The sequence below is a fragment of the Homo sapiens genome, chromosome 12 (genome assembly GCF_000001405.40).
Source record: "Homo sapiens chromosome 12, GRCh38.p14 Primary Assembly".
Classification (NCBI taxonomy): Eukaryota; Metazoa; Chordata; class Mammalia; order Primates; family Hominidae; genus Homo; species Homo sapiens.
Window position 1 is genome coordinate 57,544,118 of NC_000012.12, and position 16,015 is coordinate 57,560,132.

The 16,015-nt window shown below is 46.8% G+C and overlaps 2 protein-coding genes across 11 annotated transcripts in view, besides 3 other annotated features; one reads left to right on the plus strand and one right to left on the minus strand.

The window, feature by feature from the left end:
• The window catches only part of DCTN2 (dynactin subunit 2), a 17,142-nt gene extending 14,067 nt beyond the window's left edge, over window positions 1-3,075 (minus strand). For 8 of the 9 annotated variants that reach the window (NR_145419.2, NM_001261413.2, NM_001348068.2 and 5 more), the window contains exons 1-2: window positions 2,911-3,075; window positions 1,911-1,979 (exon numbers count right to left, since the gene is read on the minus strand). Coding sequence is in view for 5 of the 9 variants with exons in the window: in NM_001261413.2 (NP_001248342.1) it covers window positions 1,911-1,979; window positions 2,911-2,946 (105 nt within the window). In the remaining 4 variants the exon portion in view is untranslated. Of the gene's footprint in view, window positions 1-1,910; window positions 1,980-2,378; window positions 2,743-2,910 lie in introns of those variants that run through there. The other variant, NM_001348065.2, reaches the window with a different exon arrangement.
• Window positions 3,204-3,343: an enhancer, noted in NCBI's record as "active region_6548". NCBI's record gives its function as "activates an Ori minimal core promoter by ATAC-STARR-seq in GM12878 lymphoblastoid cells {active_cell/tissue: GM12878}" and the evidence as "EXISTENCE:reporter gene assay evidence [ECO:0000049][PMID:35858748]".
• Window positions 5,654-5,993: a silencer, noted in NCBI's record as "silent region_4584". NCBI's record gives its function as "represses an Ori minimal core promoter by ATAC-STARR-seq in GM12878 lymphoblastoid cells {active_cell/tissue: GM12878}" and the evidence as "EXISTENCE:reporter gene assay evidence [ECO:0000049][PMID:35858748]".
• KIF5A (kinesin family member 5A) overlaps window positions 5,927-16,015 on the plus strand; it is a 36,590-nt gene continuing 26,501 nt past the window's right edge. For both annotated transcript variants that reach the window (NM_004984.4, NM_001354705.2), the window contains exon 1: window positions 5,927-6,283. In NM_004984.4, coding sequence (NP_004975.2) covers window positions 6,155-6,283 — 129 coding nt within the window. In that variant the 5' untranslated portion in view covers window positions 5,927-6,154. The remainder of the gene's footprint in view (window positions 6,284-16,015) is intronic.
• Window positions 6,262-6,854: an enhancer, noted in NCBI's record as "H3K4me1 hESC enhancer chr12:57944162-57944754 (GRCh37/hg19 assembly coordinates)". NCBI's record gives its function as "activates a minimal SCP1, AML or CMV promoter by ChIP-STARR-seq in naive H9 embryonic stem cells {active_cell/tissue: H9 hESC(naive)}" and the evidence as "EXISTENCE:reporter gene assay evidence [ECO:0000049][PMID:30033119]".

Genomic DNA, 16,015 nt, shown 5'->3' on the forward strand with positions numbered 1-16,015 from the left:
CAGAAGCCTAGGCCTAAGTTGAACAGTCTGAACTGTGGTAGTGCAGTAAAGTTCTCAGCATACAGCTGTCTCTTGGCAACTGTGGGAGACTGGTTCCAGGACCTCCCTTGATACCAAAATCTGCATATGTTCCCATCTTCTATATAAATTGGCATAGTAACTGCATATAACCTACCTACACCCTCCTGTATACTTTGAATCATCTCTAGATTACTTAAAATACCTAGTACAATGTAAATGCTATGTAAATAGTTGTTATATTGTATTTTTAAATTTTGTTTTTTTTTTTATTGTTGTACTGGTTTTTTTTTTTTTGAGATGGAGTCTTGCTCTGTCACCCAGGCTGGGGTGCAGTGGCGCAATCTCGGCTCACTGCAACCTCCACCTCCCAGGTTCAAGCAATTCTCCTGCCTCAGCCTCCACAGTAGCTGGGACTATAAGCGCTCGCCACCACGCCTTGCTAATTTTTATATTTTTTAGTAGAGACGGGGTCTCAAACTCCTGGCCTCAAATGATCCACCTGCCTCAGCCTCCCAAAGTGCTGGGATTACAGGCATGAATCACCACACTGGGCCTATTTTTTATTTTTAAAAAATATTTTCCATTTGTGATTGGTTGAATCCATGGGTTTGGAACCCATAAATACAGAGAACCGATTGTATACACTCCTATTCTGTGAGGACAGAGGCAGCTTCCTATAAGATGCCTCTTGGAGTGACAGGTGCACACCCAGGTCCTTGAGCAACAACATCATCTGCATTATCTCCAAGATACTCAAGCTTAGGGGATAGATTGGCATGCCAGCAAATACAGAAGCCACAAGGAACACACCACTGGGAGAAGGGACAGAGAAGGTGTTTCCCACAATGTAAGAACCACTTCCACATGGGGGAGTCAAATAAGAAATAAGTGAGTACGCCAAGCCACACATTGTAAGCCAGCAGTCAGCATTCCCCAGAATTAACCAGCCCCACAGACATAGCCACAGGACTTACAGACAAGCATACTGAGCCTGCATATTGCAATGACTCTTGGACACATCTTTACTGAGAACTCACATCATCAATGTGATCCCAGCCCAGCTGTCTTCAGAAATAATAGAACCTAAAACACATCCTATAAACACACCTCTTGGCACTTAAACAGAGTTTTTACTATGTTGATTTCCATTCACTCAATTTTTTTTTCCTTCTATATGTTTCCTATATGTATCCTAATTCCCCATTAGTCTGGGGCTCATTGGGGGCAGAGACATTTCTTCCTCTGCATTGCACAAAAAAAACCACAGAATGAACACACTCAATAAACCATACTAAATGTTTCCCCTCACAGTTAAAATGTATCCGTACCTAATTACTCCATCCTCAGAATTCTCGGATCTAAAAATGCAACCACAGTCTCACATCCGCTGATGTGAAATATTTACATTCTTCCTCAAATTTGTTTTGCTCTAAAATCTTGGAATCACTTTCTTAATTCCTTGCCCAATGGATACTGGATATTCATATGGAAAAAGTATTTCTCCATATTTCAAAGTCTAGTTCTTGGTAGCAGTTTATTACAAGTGCCCAGGCTTCATGATTCATTTCCATGGGTTAGAACCCAGGGGCCTAAGTCACTAGCTCCAAACCTGTTTTGAGATATTTCAATTTTATTTAAAAGGCCCAAGAATCAGGGCTTTGCAAACAGATGTTGTTAGCTGTAATTCCGCTGACTTGACTCTCCCTCCTGCCATTGCTCATTGGTGGCTGCAAGCCCAGCAAGGTCTTTGCAAGCCCTGCAACCTATATACCACCCAGGCTGGGGTTGGCATACCCGCTTATTGCTGTAGCTCCCCCGAGAAAGGGAAGGACCTGTCTAGGGGAGAAAGGTCAGAGTCCGGAGGAGTCTGTGGCAGCACACATTCTTACCGCATCGAACTCCGCTTGATCATCCTCAGGTAGGTCGCTAGTTTCATAAACATCTGGCTCATTCCTGGCCTGCAGGTAGAAGCAGTGACCACCCAACCTCACTACCCAGCATCCAACAACACCCCTTCCCCCACTCCATTTGAATAAGCTAACAGAGAAGGCGGGGTGTGATGTCAGGGTTCTGTCCTTTCTCCTCCACCTGCCCCGTGAGTCAACAGTATGTCAGTTCCCATGTCTCAAGGGGTAGGGATGACAGCGGAAACAATTGGGACCTGACAGTAAACGGTGAGTGTAAGTGATAGCAACGATGTTACCCTAAATCTAGAGGCGGGCAGGTCCTTGGCAATCACTATTGCCAAAGAAGGTGAAGGCTATCCTCCAATTAGGCCCCGTACACCACCACCCTGGCACAAGGATTGAGAGTGACTCAGGACCTTAGTACTCAAGGTCCTGTGTCCCAACCCTCACCTTGAGAAGCAGGCAGGGCAGCACAAAAGGAAGGTACACGCCAGGATTGTCATGGGAGTGGGGGCTGGGGGAGGGCATAGGTTCCCTCAAGGATAGAGCTCCCCATCTGGCACAAGAGGGTTCTGCCAGATGGCAGAACCTCTTCCTTGGCAGGATGAAGGCCATCGTTAAGTGGTCTGGTGTGTGTGTCTGGGGTAGCGATGGGGTCTTATGGAGAGATTTGGGGGGGACATGGGAGGCGTTGACACGGATGGTGGAAAAACTCAGGCACAAGAGGTCAGTACCCGGAGTCGATTTCTGGGCCGAGCTACCGGCGACTGCCGGAAAGGGGGCCTGGTGCGCCGTCCGGCGGCCCGGCCCAGTCGGGTCAGAAGAGTTCGGGGGGTGCTGAGGCCGATCGGAGAACGAGCGGCGGGAGCCCTTGGGCGGAGGATGGGCTGCAGGCGGGAGGGGTCGCGGGCTGGTTTCTGCTGGGGGTCCTTGGGAGGTCGGGGGCGCGGTCCTGGGGAGCCGGGGCCGGTCCTGTACTCACAATGCCGGGAAGGTCGGCGTATTTAGGGTCCGCCATGGCGGCGGCGAGACGGGCTGGGGGACCCGGGCCTCGGTGGAGCCGGGGCCGGTGTTCGGGTAGGGGAGAGGCTGGGTTCGGGTCCCGGGCTAAGGCGGCGGCAAAGGGAGCGGCAGATGAGCAGGAAGTCTCGCGACAGCAGTAGCACAGCAGAAGGGTAAAGCAAAAGTCGCGAGAACAGCCCTGCTGCCACACCCCTGGAGAGGCCGGGATTGGGGAGAACGAGGCCAGGGAATGAGGTAATGGCCAGGGGACGCCGCCTAGGATTGTGGGATGTGTAGTTTTGGTGTACTGGAGCTTGGGCGGGGAGCGACAATAACGAACCTTGGGGAGCTATTTCATACAGCCTTTTCTCTCACTTTTACAGCAAGTCAGTGAAAGAACATTTATAATTCCTGTTTGGGGCTCCCAGGAATAAAATGACTAGATTAAATGATACAGGTAGTCATACTGTGACACAGCCGGGGTTTCAAAAACAAGAAGTTTGCTTGATACTGTGTATTATAAAAACAAAATAAAAACAAGAAGTAAAATTTAGTAAACGCGTAGTGTATGTTAGGAATGAAAAAGTTAGGCAATCTTCTCAAGTAAGGGCTTTCAGATAATTTGAATTTCAGATAATAAGTAGGTGTGTGTGTGTGGTGTGTGGTGTGTGGGTATACTAACCCCCCAAAAATTAAGTATCTGAAATTCACATTTAACTGGGCATCCTGTTTTTGTTTTTTGTTTTTCAAATCTGGCAATTCTATCTGAAGTTCATAAGTAGGTAAGTGGTGTCTCCATGTCTGTCTGAACACTCTCTGGGCTCTTAACTACTTCGTTAATAGTTCTCAGACTTTTATTTATTTTTCAATTTTTTCAATTTTGTGGGTACACAGTAGGTGTATGTATTTATGGGACACATGAGATATTTTGATACAGGCATGCAATGTGAAATAAGCACATCATGGAGAAGAGGGTATCCATCCTCTCAAGCATTTATCCTTTAAGTTACAAATAATCCAATTACTCTTTAAGTTATTTTAAAATGTACAGTTGAGTTATTCTTGACTATAGTCACCCTATTGTGCCATCAAATAGTAGGTCTTATTATACTTTCTAATTTTTTGTACCTATTCACCAACCTTACCTTCCGTTCTCAGACTTTTAAATTTCATCGTTCAATAAAATTAAAACAACTACAAACCTTGAAGATTTGCCTTTTTATTTTATCAAGTAAGTATATTACAAATAGAAAACCTATTATTTACTGTCACCATCATTACTTGGTAGAAAAGCAAGAAGGACACACTCAGAATAAAAGATAGTCCTTTGAAACTTATCAAATCCATCTTTATATTAAAAAAAAACTCACCATTGTTCTTTTGGAGGTGAGGGCATACTCAGTGAACTTTTGTCTCTGACCAGTGACCCTCCATGGACTGGCATTTTGAAACCCCTTTACTAAAGATGCCACCTTGGAGCCCCTGGGGACCCAAGGATGGGATGTTTCCCAGGATGTTTCCTGAGCTTGCAGGATGCTGCAACACTTAGAAATTGTGCCAAACCAAGTGACTAGAGAGTTCCTGAGTTCGGAACTCGTTGTCTTTCTTTCTCCTGGCTCCTCCCCAAGCCTCTATCCCTTTCTCCATAGTCCTACAGCTTTCCTGTCCCATTCCTTATGTTGGACTCTTTTCTTTCAGTTCCCTTAAGATTCAAGGTAGGTTAGAGGTGTAGCCCCAATGTGGGAAACCCCCTGAGTTCTGAATAGTTAGGTCTTGTCTGGCCAGGCTATCAGCCTCTTACTTTTGTCCCATAGTGTCTTAAGTGACCTTAACCACTCACCAGACAGTTGCTGAGCAGAACTTTCCTTTCCTCCTCCTTCTCCCATCCACCCTGCCCTTCCTCTTTGCCTAGAACCTCAACTCCTGCAGTCCAACTCTCTGTTGGCCAGCAGAGGCCTGTGACATGGAGAAAAATCAATTTGGCCAGCTTCTTGGTGGTTCTTTCCAGGGGCTGCAGCAGGAGTCTGACCCAAAGGAAGGAAGGACAAGGAATCTCTGGGCTTGGCATTTCTTTCGTTTTTCTTCCCCCACACCTTTTTTTTTTTGGCCAGGGAAGGGGGCTGAAGTATTGGGACTCTATCCTCCAATGGTTACTGAGACAGAAAACACACACTCCCGTAGGTATCTGAATTTGCCTGAAACCCAAATGCCGGCTTTGCCTCAGACTTCAAAGTCTCTCTGGCCTTACCCATCCCCATCATTGCCCCTCCTTCACTGCTTTCTGACTCCCTTTCTCTTGCAAAGATGTTTCCCACCCATCTTCCTCCCATCCTCAGCCTAGGACACAAAAATAAGTATTGTATCTGCTTTTGAATTCCCATAACCCAGAATGGGAGTTTATCTTCCCTGAAACTGGGGACCTGGTGTGTACGTTGGGGAGACAGTATAGTGCACCTTTGGATGTGGAAGGGGAAGGGAGTAGCCAGAACCTCCCACGACACCCAACTTCATAGGAGTACAGGCAGGGGTCCCCCCAGAAAGCTGAGTGGGTTGGGAGTCCAGCTTCCGTGCATGTGGGGCATGGGATGGGCGTAGGGGGAGAATGAGAAGTGTGATCCCAGTTTGGAGAGAGGACTGTGACGGGTTGGGGGATGCCCTGGAATAAAGGGAGAGGGAGATCTGTTGACCCTTTTCGCTACACAGGCGACAGGCCCACCTCAGTCCCCTTATCCCTTCCAGGGGGTGGAGTCTGAGGGAGGGACAAACAGGTCGGGGGTATAGGGGTGGGATGCAGTGAGTTGGGTGGGGAAGGGTCGAGGGCAAGGTTATCTCCGAACGTTAGGGGTGGGGGAGGGAGGAGAGGAGCGGTGAGGTTCCACCCTTCGGGGGTCGACGTCGAGCCAGCGTCCCCAGTGGAGGGAGCCCCGCCCCCGCTCCTCCATCGCGGCCCCGCCCAGGCCCGCAGCGCGGCGCTGCAGCGCGAGGGGCGGAGAGGCAGAGAGCCCGAAAGGACCAGACGCCCAGGTCGCCCGCATCCCGCTGCCGCAGGAGAGAGACAGCGCGCCCCGGCCCTGCTCCCCAGGCTTCGCCCGGGCGCCCTCAACTCTGTCCCCAGAGACTGAGCACCTGTCCTCCGCCTCGGCCTCTGCTGAGAGCCCTCTCCTCTGGAGCACACACCACCCCTGCAGCCCAAGAAGAGTCCCAGCCCCACGCCGGCTACCACCATGGCGGAGACCAACAACGAATGTAGCATCAAGGTGCTCTGCCGATTCCGGCCCCTGAACCAGGCTGAGATTCTGCGGGGAGACAAGTTCATCCCCATTTTCCAAGGGGACGACAGCGTCGTTATTGGGGTGAGTGTCGCCCAGGAGGGAATTCGGGGAGGGGGCAGGTGGCTGAATCTCCCCGCCCCCCGCAGAGCCTTAGTCTCTGCTGGTCCCTTTGCTCCCCCTCCCCGCCGCTCATCCTTCATCCTCTTCCCCGCAGCCCCTCCTCTCCCCTGCATCAGGATGGCTGGGTGTGGCCTGGCCAGGCCAGCGGCCGAGTCTCTGCAGAGTGGCAGGGGGCTGCTTTCCTACCTTCGGGAGATCCAACTCCCCTTTGCTGCTGTCTGCAGCGTCTCCACCCGTTAGAACCAGTCCCATGTTTTTCTGATGTTTTCCCCTTCTCCACCACCCGCTCCCCAAGAGAAAGCGCATCTTCCCTTTGTTATTGGCTCAGATCTCTACCCCCACCTCCCGGAAGGTAAGGCGGAAGACTTTTGGGTGGATTAGATGGGAGGTGAGCAGTCCAGGGTCTCTGCAGAGTGTGGATGGAAGTGGGCTCTAAGACCAAACCTTCCATCATTCCCTAAAGTAGTTATAGCCTGGATTTTTGTGTGTGTGTTGTGGGGAGTAGGTCTGATGCAGGGTTTACTGGGAAAGAAATCATTGATGCCACACCCAATCTTGGGGGGAGCCTCTGGAATCCTAAGGTCAGGTCTGCCTTTTGGTCCCAGGTACAGTAGGAAGAGGGTTTCAGATTCCCCAACTGACCCCCCTAAAGAAAAATGCCCAAACCCTGAGATCCTAGTCAGTACCTGCTTATTCATCCTTTCTCTTGAGGATCCAATAGAAAGTAGCCATCCAGCTCTACCTCATCATGACAGCCCTACCCAAGGAGGATATCTTAAGGGAACTAATATTAACAGTGGGCCTGTTACTCTACGTATATTATTTAACCCCCAAAACAACATTCAGAAGTAGTATCAATATTTCCATTTTACAGATGCAGAAATTGAGGCCCAAAGAACTTGAATAACTTTCTCAAGGTCATGCTATTCATCCATGGATCTGAACCTAAATCTGTGACTGCAAACCTCCCATCTCTTCTATCACATTGCCTACCCAGGTTTCTGTTCTGCACCTTTATCTGTAATGGCCCAAAGGGAAATTCTAGGCCTTGCCCACTCCCCCTGAGGTTGGTAGGGACCTCAGGCTGTGTGTGGGGAGAAAAGATCTGGGGTCGAGTCCTGTAGGGCTTGAGGGGTGCTGGGCCAGGAAACAAAAACTAGCTTGAGGAGGGAGGGGCATGTACGAGGGCAGTCAAGGTCAGAGGTGCTTCTTATGTATCTTTATCCACAGTGCTTGGCACAGAGCACCTGGACACAGGCTTGTTAAAGGAATGAAGGAAAGAAGGGGAGGAAGCCTGGGCCTTCTGAGTCAGTGAGAATGGGACTTTGAATAAACATGCTTCGGGGGAGACCTGCTTACCAGTCCCCAAGGGCCCCAGTCTGTCACCACCTTGCACCCTTACCCACACTGTTAACTCAAATGGATGCTTTTGGTCTCTCTCTCTCTCTCTCTCTCTCTCTCTCTCTCTGTGTATGTATTTGCCACATGGAGAGGGCCTCTGTTTCTTTTTGCTTCAGGGACCTCGCTGGCCCTGCAGTCTGTTCAGTCTGGCTGGGCTAAAAACAAAACAAAACAAAACAAAACAACCACAAAACAACTCCTGGATCAACTCTGGAGGACCCCTCTCAGAGTGTCCTGGATAGCCAGCATTAGTTGTGAGAGTTGGAGCTTCAGATCCCCCTGAGACATAAAGGCTGAGAAACAGGAGGAGGGTGATGATGGGGGCAAAACTTTTAGGCCCAATTTCCTTGCTCTGGGAGGTTTTTCCAGTAAGACTGAACCAACTCCTTTAGGCTCTCTGGGCCATCCTAGTATAGTGGGATGGGGCAGGGGGTGATGTTGGTAAGAGGGGTGTGGTGTCGATCTGTTGTTAGCCCAGCTAAACAGGAGAGACACACAGTGGGAGGTGGGCAAGGAGGAAAGATGAATAGAAGCCCCAGGCCCCCTGCCAATTCAGATTCCATCTCAGCTCCACAGCTGGATCTTCCTTGTCTGTTTTGCCTGATATCTGTAGGGCTGTACCTTTGTCTTGCTCGTATCTTCCCTCACCCTAGCCCTCCCTGTCAATCTCTCACTTGAAGATAAATGCTTACGGGGGGGCCATTTTGTCTTAGGCAACATCCTTGGAGTTTGCTTTTTCAGACTTAATATTCATTCATCATTTAGGGAATGAGGGCTACAGGAGACATGATTTTTAGGAGACCCTTGAGGGTCCCAACAAGGGAAGGAAATTCCTACTCCTTTTTCTCTTTTCCCCTCTAGCTCTTTTTGGAGCCCACCAGGTCGGGAGCTGGCTTAGGAATTAATGGGGGAGGCTGCTTCAGGATGTCTAGGAAGGTGCGGGAAGAGTGAAGGTGGGAGAGATAATCTTTCCCAATGCAGCCCCTACTCCTTCCTGTGACTGCTCTCCCCTTCGCCTCTGCAGCACTGCGGCCAGCGCTGAGCTTCAGAGTCCCTTCTGTTCGTGGGCTTTGTTCTGCTTGTTAGAGGGTAGGAGAATAAGCTGGAGAGACAGCTCTGTGTGCCTTTTTTCTCCCCTACTCCTCTGACTTCTTCCAGGAACCTGGGGGATGGGGCTTAGCCAAAGTTAATGGCCTGAGTCATAGCAGAAGGGTGTCTGGGTCACCGTCTGTGTGTGGTGCCCATCTTGTTTTGCTTTTGCACACTCAGAATCCAGTGTGACTTTTTCGCCAGACCCATTTAAGTGTCTGTCTTCCTCTGCCTTGGTCTTTCTCAGCAGTGTCCCAGTGCCTGCTGTCTGGACTGCTGCATCTGTACCAGATGTGGGAGGGATGACAGTGAAGAAACACATACATACACACACACACTCTTTCTCTTTCCCCTTCATTCAAGTGTACACAGCTACCTCCCTCAGGTCTCCCAATGGTTAAGTGGGTTCTTAATGCAAGAAACTAGGACCATTGTGTACCTCACTTGGCAAAGCTAGGTTGGGACCTGCAGGGTTATTGGAGCAGAATCAGTATTGTTTGGGGTGGCCTGGGATTTGATATCTGAAGTGGGGAGCAGGGCTGTCCTTTGCTTTGGGGGAGTCTCATAAAGAAAAATGGAGACGAGAAGTAACGTTCATTGTGGCCAGTGTCTCTCCAGCATTACCATGGCAACAATCCCCACGGGTGTCACTATGGAAATCAGGCCTGGCACTTGAAGTTCAGCTTATACCAAGTGCTTTACTGAGGGTTGAACAGGTTGGTCATCTTTGGACCCCTGATCTTAAACCCCCAGCCCCAATTAGCTTCAGTCAGCACACATGATAGAAAAGTACAGAAAGGTGCTGGGATACACAAATGGAAGAGGAGACACCAGGGAGGCTCGGAGTGTGATTAAATTAAAAGAGAACAAAGAACCCTGGACTGTGGGACTCTGAAGAGAGGCCCTTCAGAGAAGGCTATAAGGAGCACTTAGACTGCTGGGGGTGGGAGAGAGATTGGATTTCGGCGACATTTCTAAGAGGAGGAGGGACTCTGTGACTATTTCTCATTAACAACTCACAGAGTCTTCGATTACCTGGAGGTAGAGAGGGTGGGTGGCAGAATTACATACTTCTGAAAATGGGATTGAGGTTGGAAAAAGGGAGTGATGAAAGGCTTTAGTTCTGTCTGGAAATACTTGGAAAAATGCCCAAATGTGAGGAGGGGGGATATGGAGTAGGGGAAGAAAAAGCCTTGATAAGGCTCTGACACAGTGTTGGCATTTCAGTTCTTGGATCACTTTGCAGTGTGGGTCTGGAATCAGATTGCTTGAATTTGAAACTGTGCTCTACCATTTCTCAGCCATGTGACTGTGGGGAAGCTACCTGACCTCTTTGAGCCTGTTTCGTCATCTATAAAGTGGTAATAATAATAGTATCTATGTCCTAGGATTACTGTGAACATTAAATGAGATAATGCATATAAACTGCTTTGTAACATGGCAGGCACACAGTAAACCCTCAATAAGAGTTAGATATTATCACTATTTTATATGCTATCTCCCCACAAGCTAGCTTTGACAAAATTGGGAAGTGGGTAACACTTTTCCTTTTTACTAATTGTTTCATGCAAACCTCCAGATCCCAAGTATCTTCTTGCTCCCTTCCTTGTCAATATCTATGTTTAGTCAACAAATATTTATGAAGAGCATCTGTCATAGTCCTCTATATGTTGCTATAAAGGAATACCCCAGGCTGGGTAATTTATAAAGAAAAGAGATATATTTGGCTAACAGTTCTGCAGGCTGTACAAGAAGCATGGCACCAGCATCTGCTCTGATGAGGGCCTCAGGAAGCTTCCAGTCATGGTGGGAGGCAAAGAGGGAGCAGGAATCACATGGCGAGAGAGGGAAAAAGAGGGAGAGCAAGAGGTGCCAAGCTCTTTTTAACAGCCAGCTCTCACATGAACTCATAAAGCGATAACTCACTCATTACCATGGGGAAGGCACCAAGCCACTCATCAGGGATTTACCTCCTTGAGCCAAGCACTTCCCACCATGCCCCACCTCCAACAATGGGGATCAAATGTCAACATGAGATTTGGAGGGGACAAACATCCAAACTACATCAGCATCCTATAGGCCAGGGACTGTGTTTGGTGTTGGGGATTTAAAGGGAATCCCTGCCTTCAAGAAAATCTGGATCAAGGTTGTGATCCATAGCCCATGGAGTGGCCTGCGCAGAGGCAGGGGAGAGGAACATCAGATATGGCTTTTGCTAACTATCTATATACTCCCCCAGATTCTGATAAGGAACCTCCCACAACATACTACAGTCTGATTCAGAGTATTGTGTGTTATGAGAGCTGTAAATAATGGTGGTGCTTCCCATGTCTATGGGCAGGAAAAGTGGAAGACCACTGGTCTAGTTATTTTCATGAAAAGATCACTTTTCTCTAGGCACATTGCCCATGGGTTAGCCCTGCTGTACAAGGAGCAGTAATGAAAAAAAAATCAGGCAAAATTAATTCATCCTGAGTATAATCAATAGAAAATTAAAAGAAATGTACAAAACTTAGCCGAGCATGGTGGTGGCTGCCTGTAGTCCCAGCTACTCAGGAGGCTGATGCAGGAGAATTGCTTGAACCTGGGAGGCGGAGGTTGCAGTGAGCCGAGATCTTGCCACTGCACTCCAGCCTGGGCAACAGAGCAAGACTCCGTCTCAAAAATAAATAAATAAATAAAAATTAAAAAAACAAATTGGCTGGGCACGGTGGCTCACGCCTATAATCTCAGCACTTTGGGAGACAGAGGCGGGTGGATAACAAGGTCAGGAGTTCGACACCAGCATGGCCAACATGGTGAAACCCTGTCTGTACTGAAAATATAAAAATTAGCCGGGCGTGGTGGTGGGCGCCTGTAATCCCAGCTACTCGGAAGGCTGAGGCAGGAGAATCGCTTGAACCTGGGAGGCGAAGGTTGCAGTGAGCCAAGATCATGCTGCTGCACTCCAGCCTGGGCGAAAGAGTGAAACTCTATCTCAAAAAAAAAAAAAAAAGAAAAAGAAAGAAAGAAAAAAAAGAAAAAACAAATTTACATTTTAAAAGGAATAAACAACTTAAAGACATAAAGAGCCAGGCTTGGAATTTTAGAGCCCAGCCAAGAATACAGAAGTAGGTAGCAGGCCTTCCCAGAACTCCTGAAATCATATCTCATGTCACATGGCTTTCCCTGCTCAGGAGATTACTAAATGCACCAATTTTTAGCTCTTGGGTATCTTTTTTTTTTTTCAGACGGAGTCTCGCTCTGTCACCCAGGCTGGAGTGCAGTGGCGCGATCTCGGCTCACTGGAAACTCCGCCTTCCGGGTTCACGCCATTCTTCTGCCTCAGCCTCCCAAGCAGCTGGGACTACAGGCGCCTGCCACCACGCCCGGCTAATTTTTTGTATTTTTAGTGGAGACGGGGTTTCACCGTGTTAGCCAGGATGGTCTCGATCTCCTGACCTCGTGATCCACCCGCCTCGGCCTCCCAAAGTGCTGGGATTACAGATGTGAGCCACCGCGCCCAGCCCACTCTTGGGTATCTTTTAGACTCAGATCTGAGAATCTCTTCCTTCTTCCCTCTCTGCTCTTTTCTTTCTTCCCAGCCTAGACTGATGTAAAGGGGTTCCTGATGAAAAGGGGCTATAATTGGCTTCAGCATTTGGAGAGCGCTCTCCATTTTAATGCGTCTGTGGAGCCTTCTAGATCCTGTAACTGGGAATGTTTTGAGGGAGTGTGTGTGGGGGCTGGGGTGGGGTGGTTGGTGTGTTGGTGCCCATGTGTTTGTGGGGGGAGGGGAGGGGCAAGATTGGCTTGAGAGTTACATTTAATCCCCTTTGGCTGGGTGCCTGGCTTCATGAAGCATGGATAGAGATTGTTGGTGGGAAAGAGATGAGAAAGCCAGTCTCATCTTTTCACATTTTTCTGCCTGTTTTATATTCTGGCTGCACTGGCAGTTGATTAAATGATGCCCACCCAGATTAAGGGTGGATCTGCCTTTCCCAGTCCACTGACTCATATGTTAATATCCTTTGGCAACACCCTCACAGACACACCCAGGATCAATACTTTGCATCATTCAGTCCAGTCAAGTTGACACTCAGTATTAACCATCACAATTCCACCCCTCATCAACTTGAACCCATACACATCTCCTGAGATCGTACAAATCTTCAAATAAGGACAATAATAAGGTCATAATTATGCGCCTAATATAATACAACTATCCTTCGTACAACCGGAAATGCACCAATCCCCAACCCAAATGCTATTATATAAAGTTAACATACTTAAATGCTGATACGAAGTCAATAAGTCTTATGTCACATAATAAAGGAAAAAGGAAATTAAAAAAAAAAAGATGAGAGGCATTGGCTTGAGATAGACATATTTTGCTTGTTTCTGTTTCTTGGCCACTGGGTGGGAGAAACATTGAGGTAGATTACAATTTAAAATTAATTACAATTCAAAATTAAGGTAGATTTTTCTTTAATAATATTAAAAATAATGTAATTACAACACTAATACATTTTAATTGTTAACAAAGTTCAAGACAAAGGAAAGGACACCGAAGAAGCTAAAAATCACCCAATATCTTACCACCCCAAAGAAGCACTGTTATTAATAATAATTTGATGTATTTTTCCAGTGTTTTTTCTACATATATACATATGTTAATTTTAATAAGATTATATATCATAAACTATATATTGTTTTGTAACCTTTTTTCTCAAACAAAATATTATTACTATTTTGCCATTGTTAAATATTTTTACATAACTTTATTATTTTACAATTTTTCTGTTTTTTTTTTGAGATGGAGTCAGGCTGGAGTGTGCAGTGGTGTGATCTTGGCTCACTGCAACCTCTGCCTCCCGGGTTCAAGCAATCCTCCCACCTCAGCTTCCTGAGTAGCTAGGATTATAGGCATGTACCACCATGCCTGGCTATATTTTACAATTTTCAATTTAACTTTCGAATGTCTTACCTGCACATGTGACAAAATGCAAAGGATATGAAAAGGTTTATATTGTTTCCTTCTCCTTCTCACCCCTCTTTTCCAGCCACACAGTTCCCTTTTCAGAAGGCAACTTCTTGTGGATCTTTCCAAAAACCTACTATACATTTATAAGCAAATACATATATACATGCATACCTTTTTTTACACAAATGGTAGCGTATTATACATCCATTCTGCACCTTTAAAAACAAAAACAGCCTGGGTGTGGTGGCTCATGCCTGTAATCTAAGCACTTTGAGGCCGAGGCGGGAGGATCACTTGAGGTCAGGAGTTCGAGACCAGCCTGACCAACATGGTGAAACCCCATCTCTACTAAAAATATAAAAATTCTGGCTGGGTGCAGTGGCTCACACCTGTAATCCCAGCACTTTGGGAGGCTGAGGTGGGCGGATCATGAGGTCAGGAGATGGAGACCATCCTGGCCAACATGGTGAAACCTCGTCTCTACTAAAAATACAAAAATTAGGCCAGGTGCGGTGGCTTACGCCTGTAATCTCAGCATTGGGAGGCCAAGGCGGGTGGATCACCTGAGGTCAGGAGTTCAAGACCAGCCTGGCCAACATGGCCAAACCCCATCTCTACTAAAAATACAGAAATTAGCCGGGTGTGGTGGCGGGCGCCTATAATCCCAGCTACTCTGGAGGCTGAAGCAGGAGAACTGCTTGAGCCCGGGAGGCAGAGGTTGCGGTGAGCTGAGATGGAGCCACTGCACTCCAGCTTGGGCGACAGAGCAAGACTCTTGTCTCAAAAAACAAAAAGCAAAACAAACAAACAAAAAACCCAAAACAAAACAGAGTCTTGGACACCCTTCCTTATCAGCACATAAAGATTTATCTCATTCTTTTTTGGTTTTGTTTTGTTTTTCAAGACAGGGTCTCACTCTGTTGCTCAGGCTGGAGTGCAGTGGTGCAATCATGGCTCACTGCAACCTTCACCTTCGAGGCTCAGGCCATCATCCTGCCTCAGCCTGCTGAGTAGCTGGGACCACAAGGCCCATGCCACCACACCTGGCTATTTTTTTTTAATTTTTGTAGAGACAGGGTCTCCCTATGTTGCCCAGGCTGGTCTCCAACTCCTGGCCTCAAGGATCCTCCAGACTTGACCTCCCAAAGGGCTCGGATTACACGGTACATGAGCTATCTCATTCAACTGTATAATTTGTTGTAGGGATAGGCCATTATTTAACCAGGCCTCTGTTGGTGGACATTAAGGGTTGTTCTAATCATCTGCTATTACAAACAGTTGAATGACCTTGTATAAATATTTTTTGCATATGTGCAGTATGTCTACAGGATAAATTTTTCGAAGTGGAGGTCATAAAGCATATGCATTTAAAAATGTGAGGCTATTTCCAAATTGCCTTTCACAGAGTTGGCTCCAATTTCTATGTACCCTCAGCAGTATGTGTGAATATCTATTTACTCACATTCTCACCAGTGTAATGCGTTGTCTATTTTATTTTGGCCACTTTCATAGGTAAAAATGGTGTTTCATAGTTTTAATATGCATTTTGCTTATTAACAGTGAGGTCGAGCATTAATTAATATTAATTAATATATTTTAACATTTAGGAGCCACTATAACATCATTTTATGATGTTATAATTTATGATAGTGATATAATTTACATACAGTGTACAGATCTTAGGCAAACAGCTTGATAAATTTTATGACATATGTAGACACCCATGTAACCACTACACAGATCAAGATCTAGAACATTTCTGTCACTCCTGAAAGCTCCTTCATATCCTCTTCCTGTAAATACCACTTGTATGTTGTTACCACAATAGCAGGTAGCTGCTGTTTTGACTTCTAGCACTACAGATAAGTTCTGTCCATTCTTGAACTTCATATGAAGGGAGTAATACAGTATGTGCTCTTTTGTGTTTGGATTCTTTCAACGTGTTTTTGAGATATATTGACGTTCTATTTATTAATGTTCTATTATGATATTTTAATTTTATTTATTTATTTTTTTTGGGACAGAGTTGCACTTTGCTGCTCAGGCTGGAGTGCGGTGGCGCGATCTCGGCTCACTGCAACCTCTGCCTCCTGGGTTCAAGCGATTCTTGTGCCTCAGCCTCCCAAGTAGCTGAGATTACAGGCATGCACCGCTATGCCCAGCTAATTTTTGTATTTTTAGTAGAGACATGGTTTCACCATGTTGGCCAGGCTAGTCTCGAACTCCTGACCTCAAGTAAT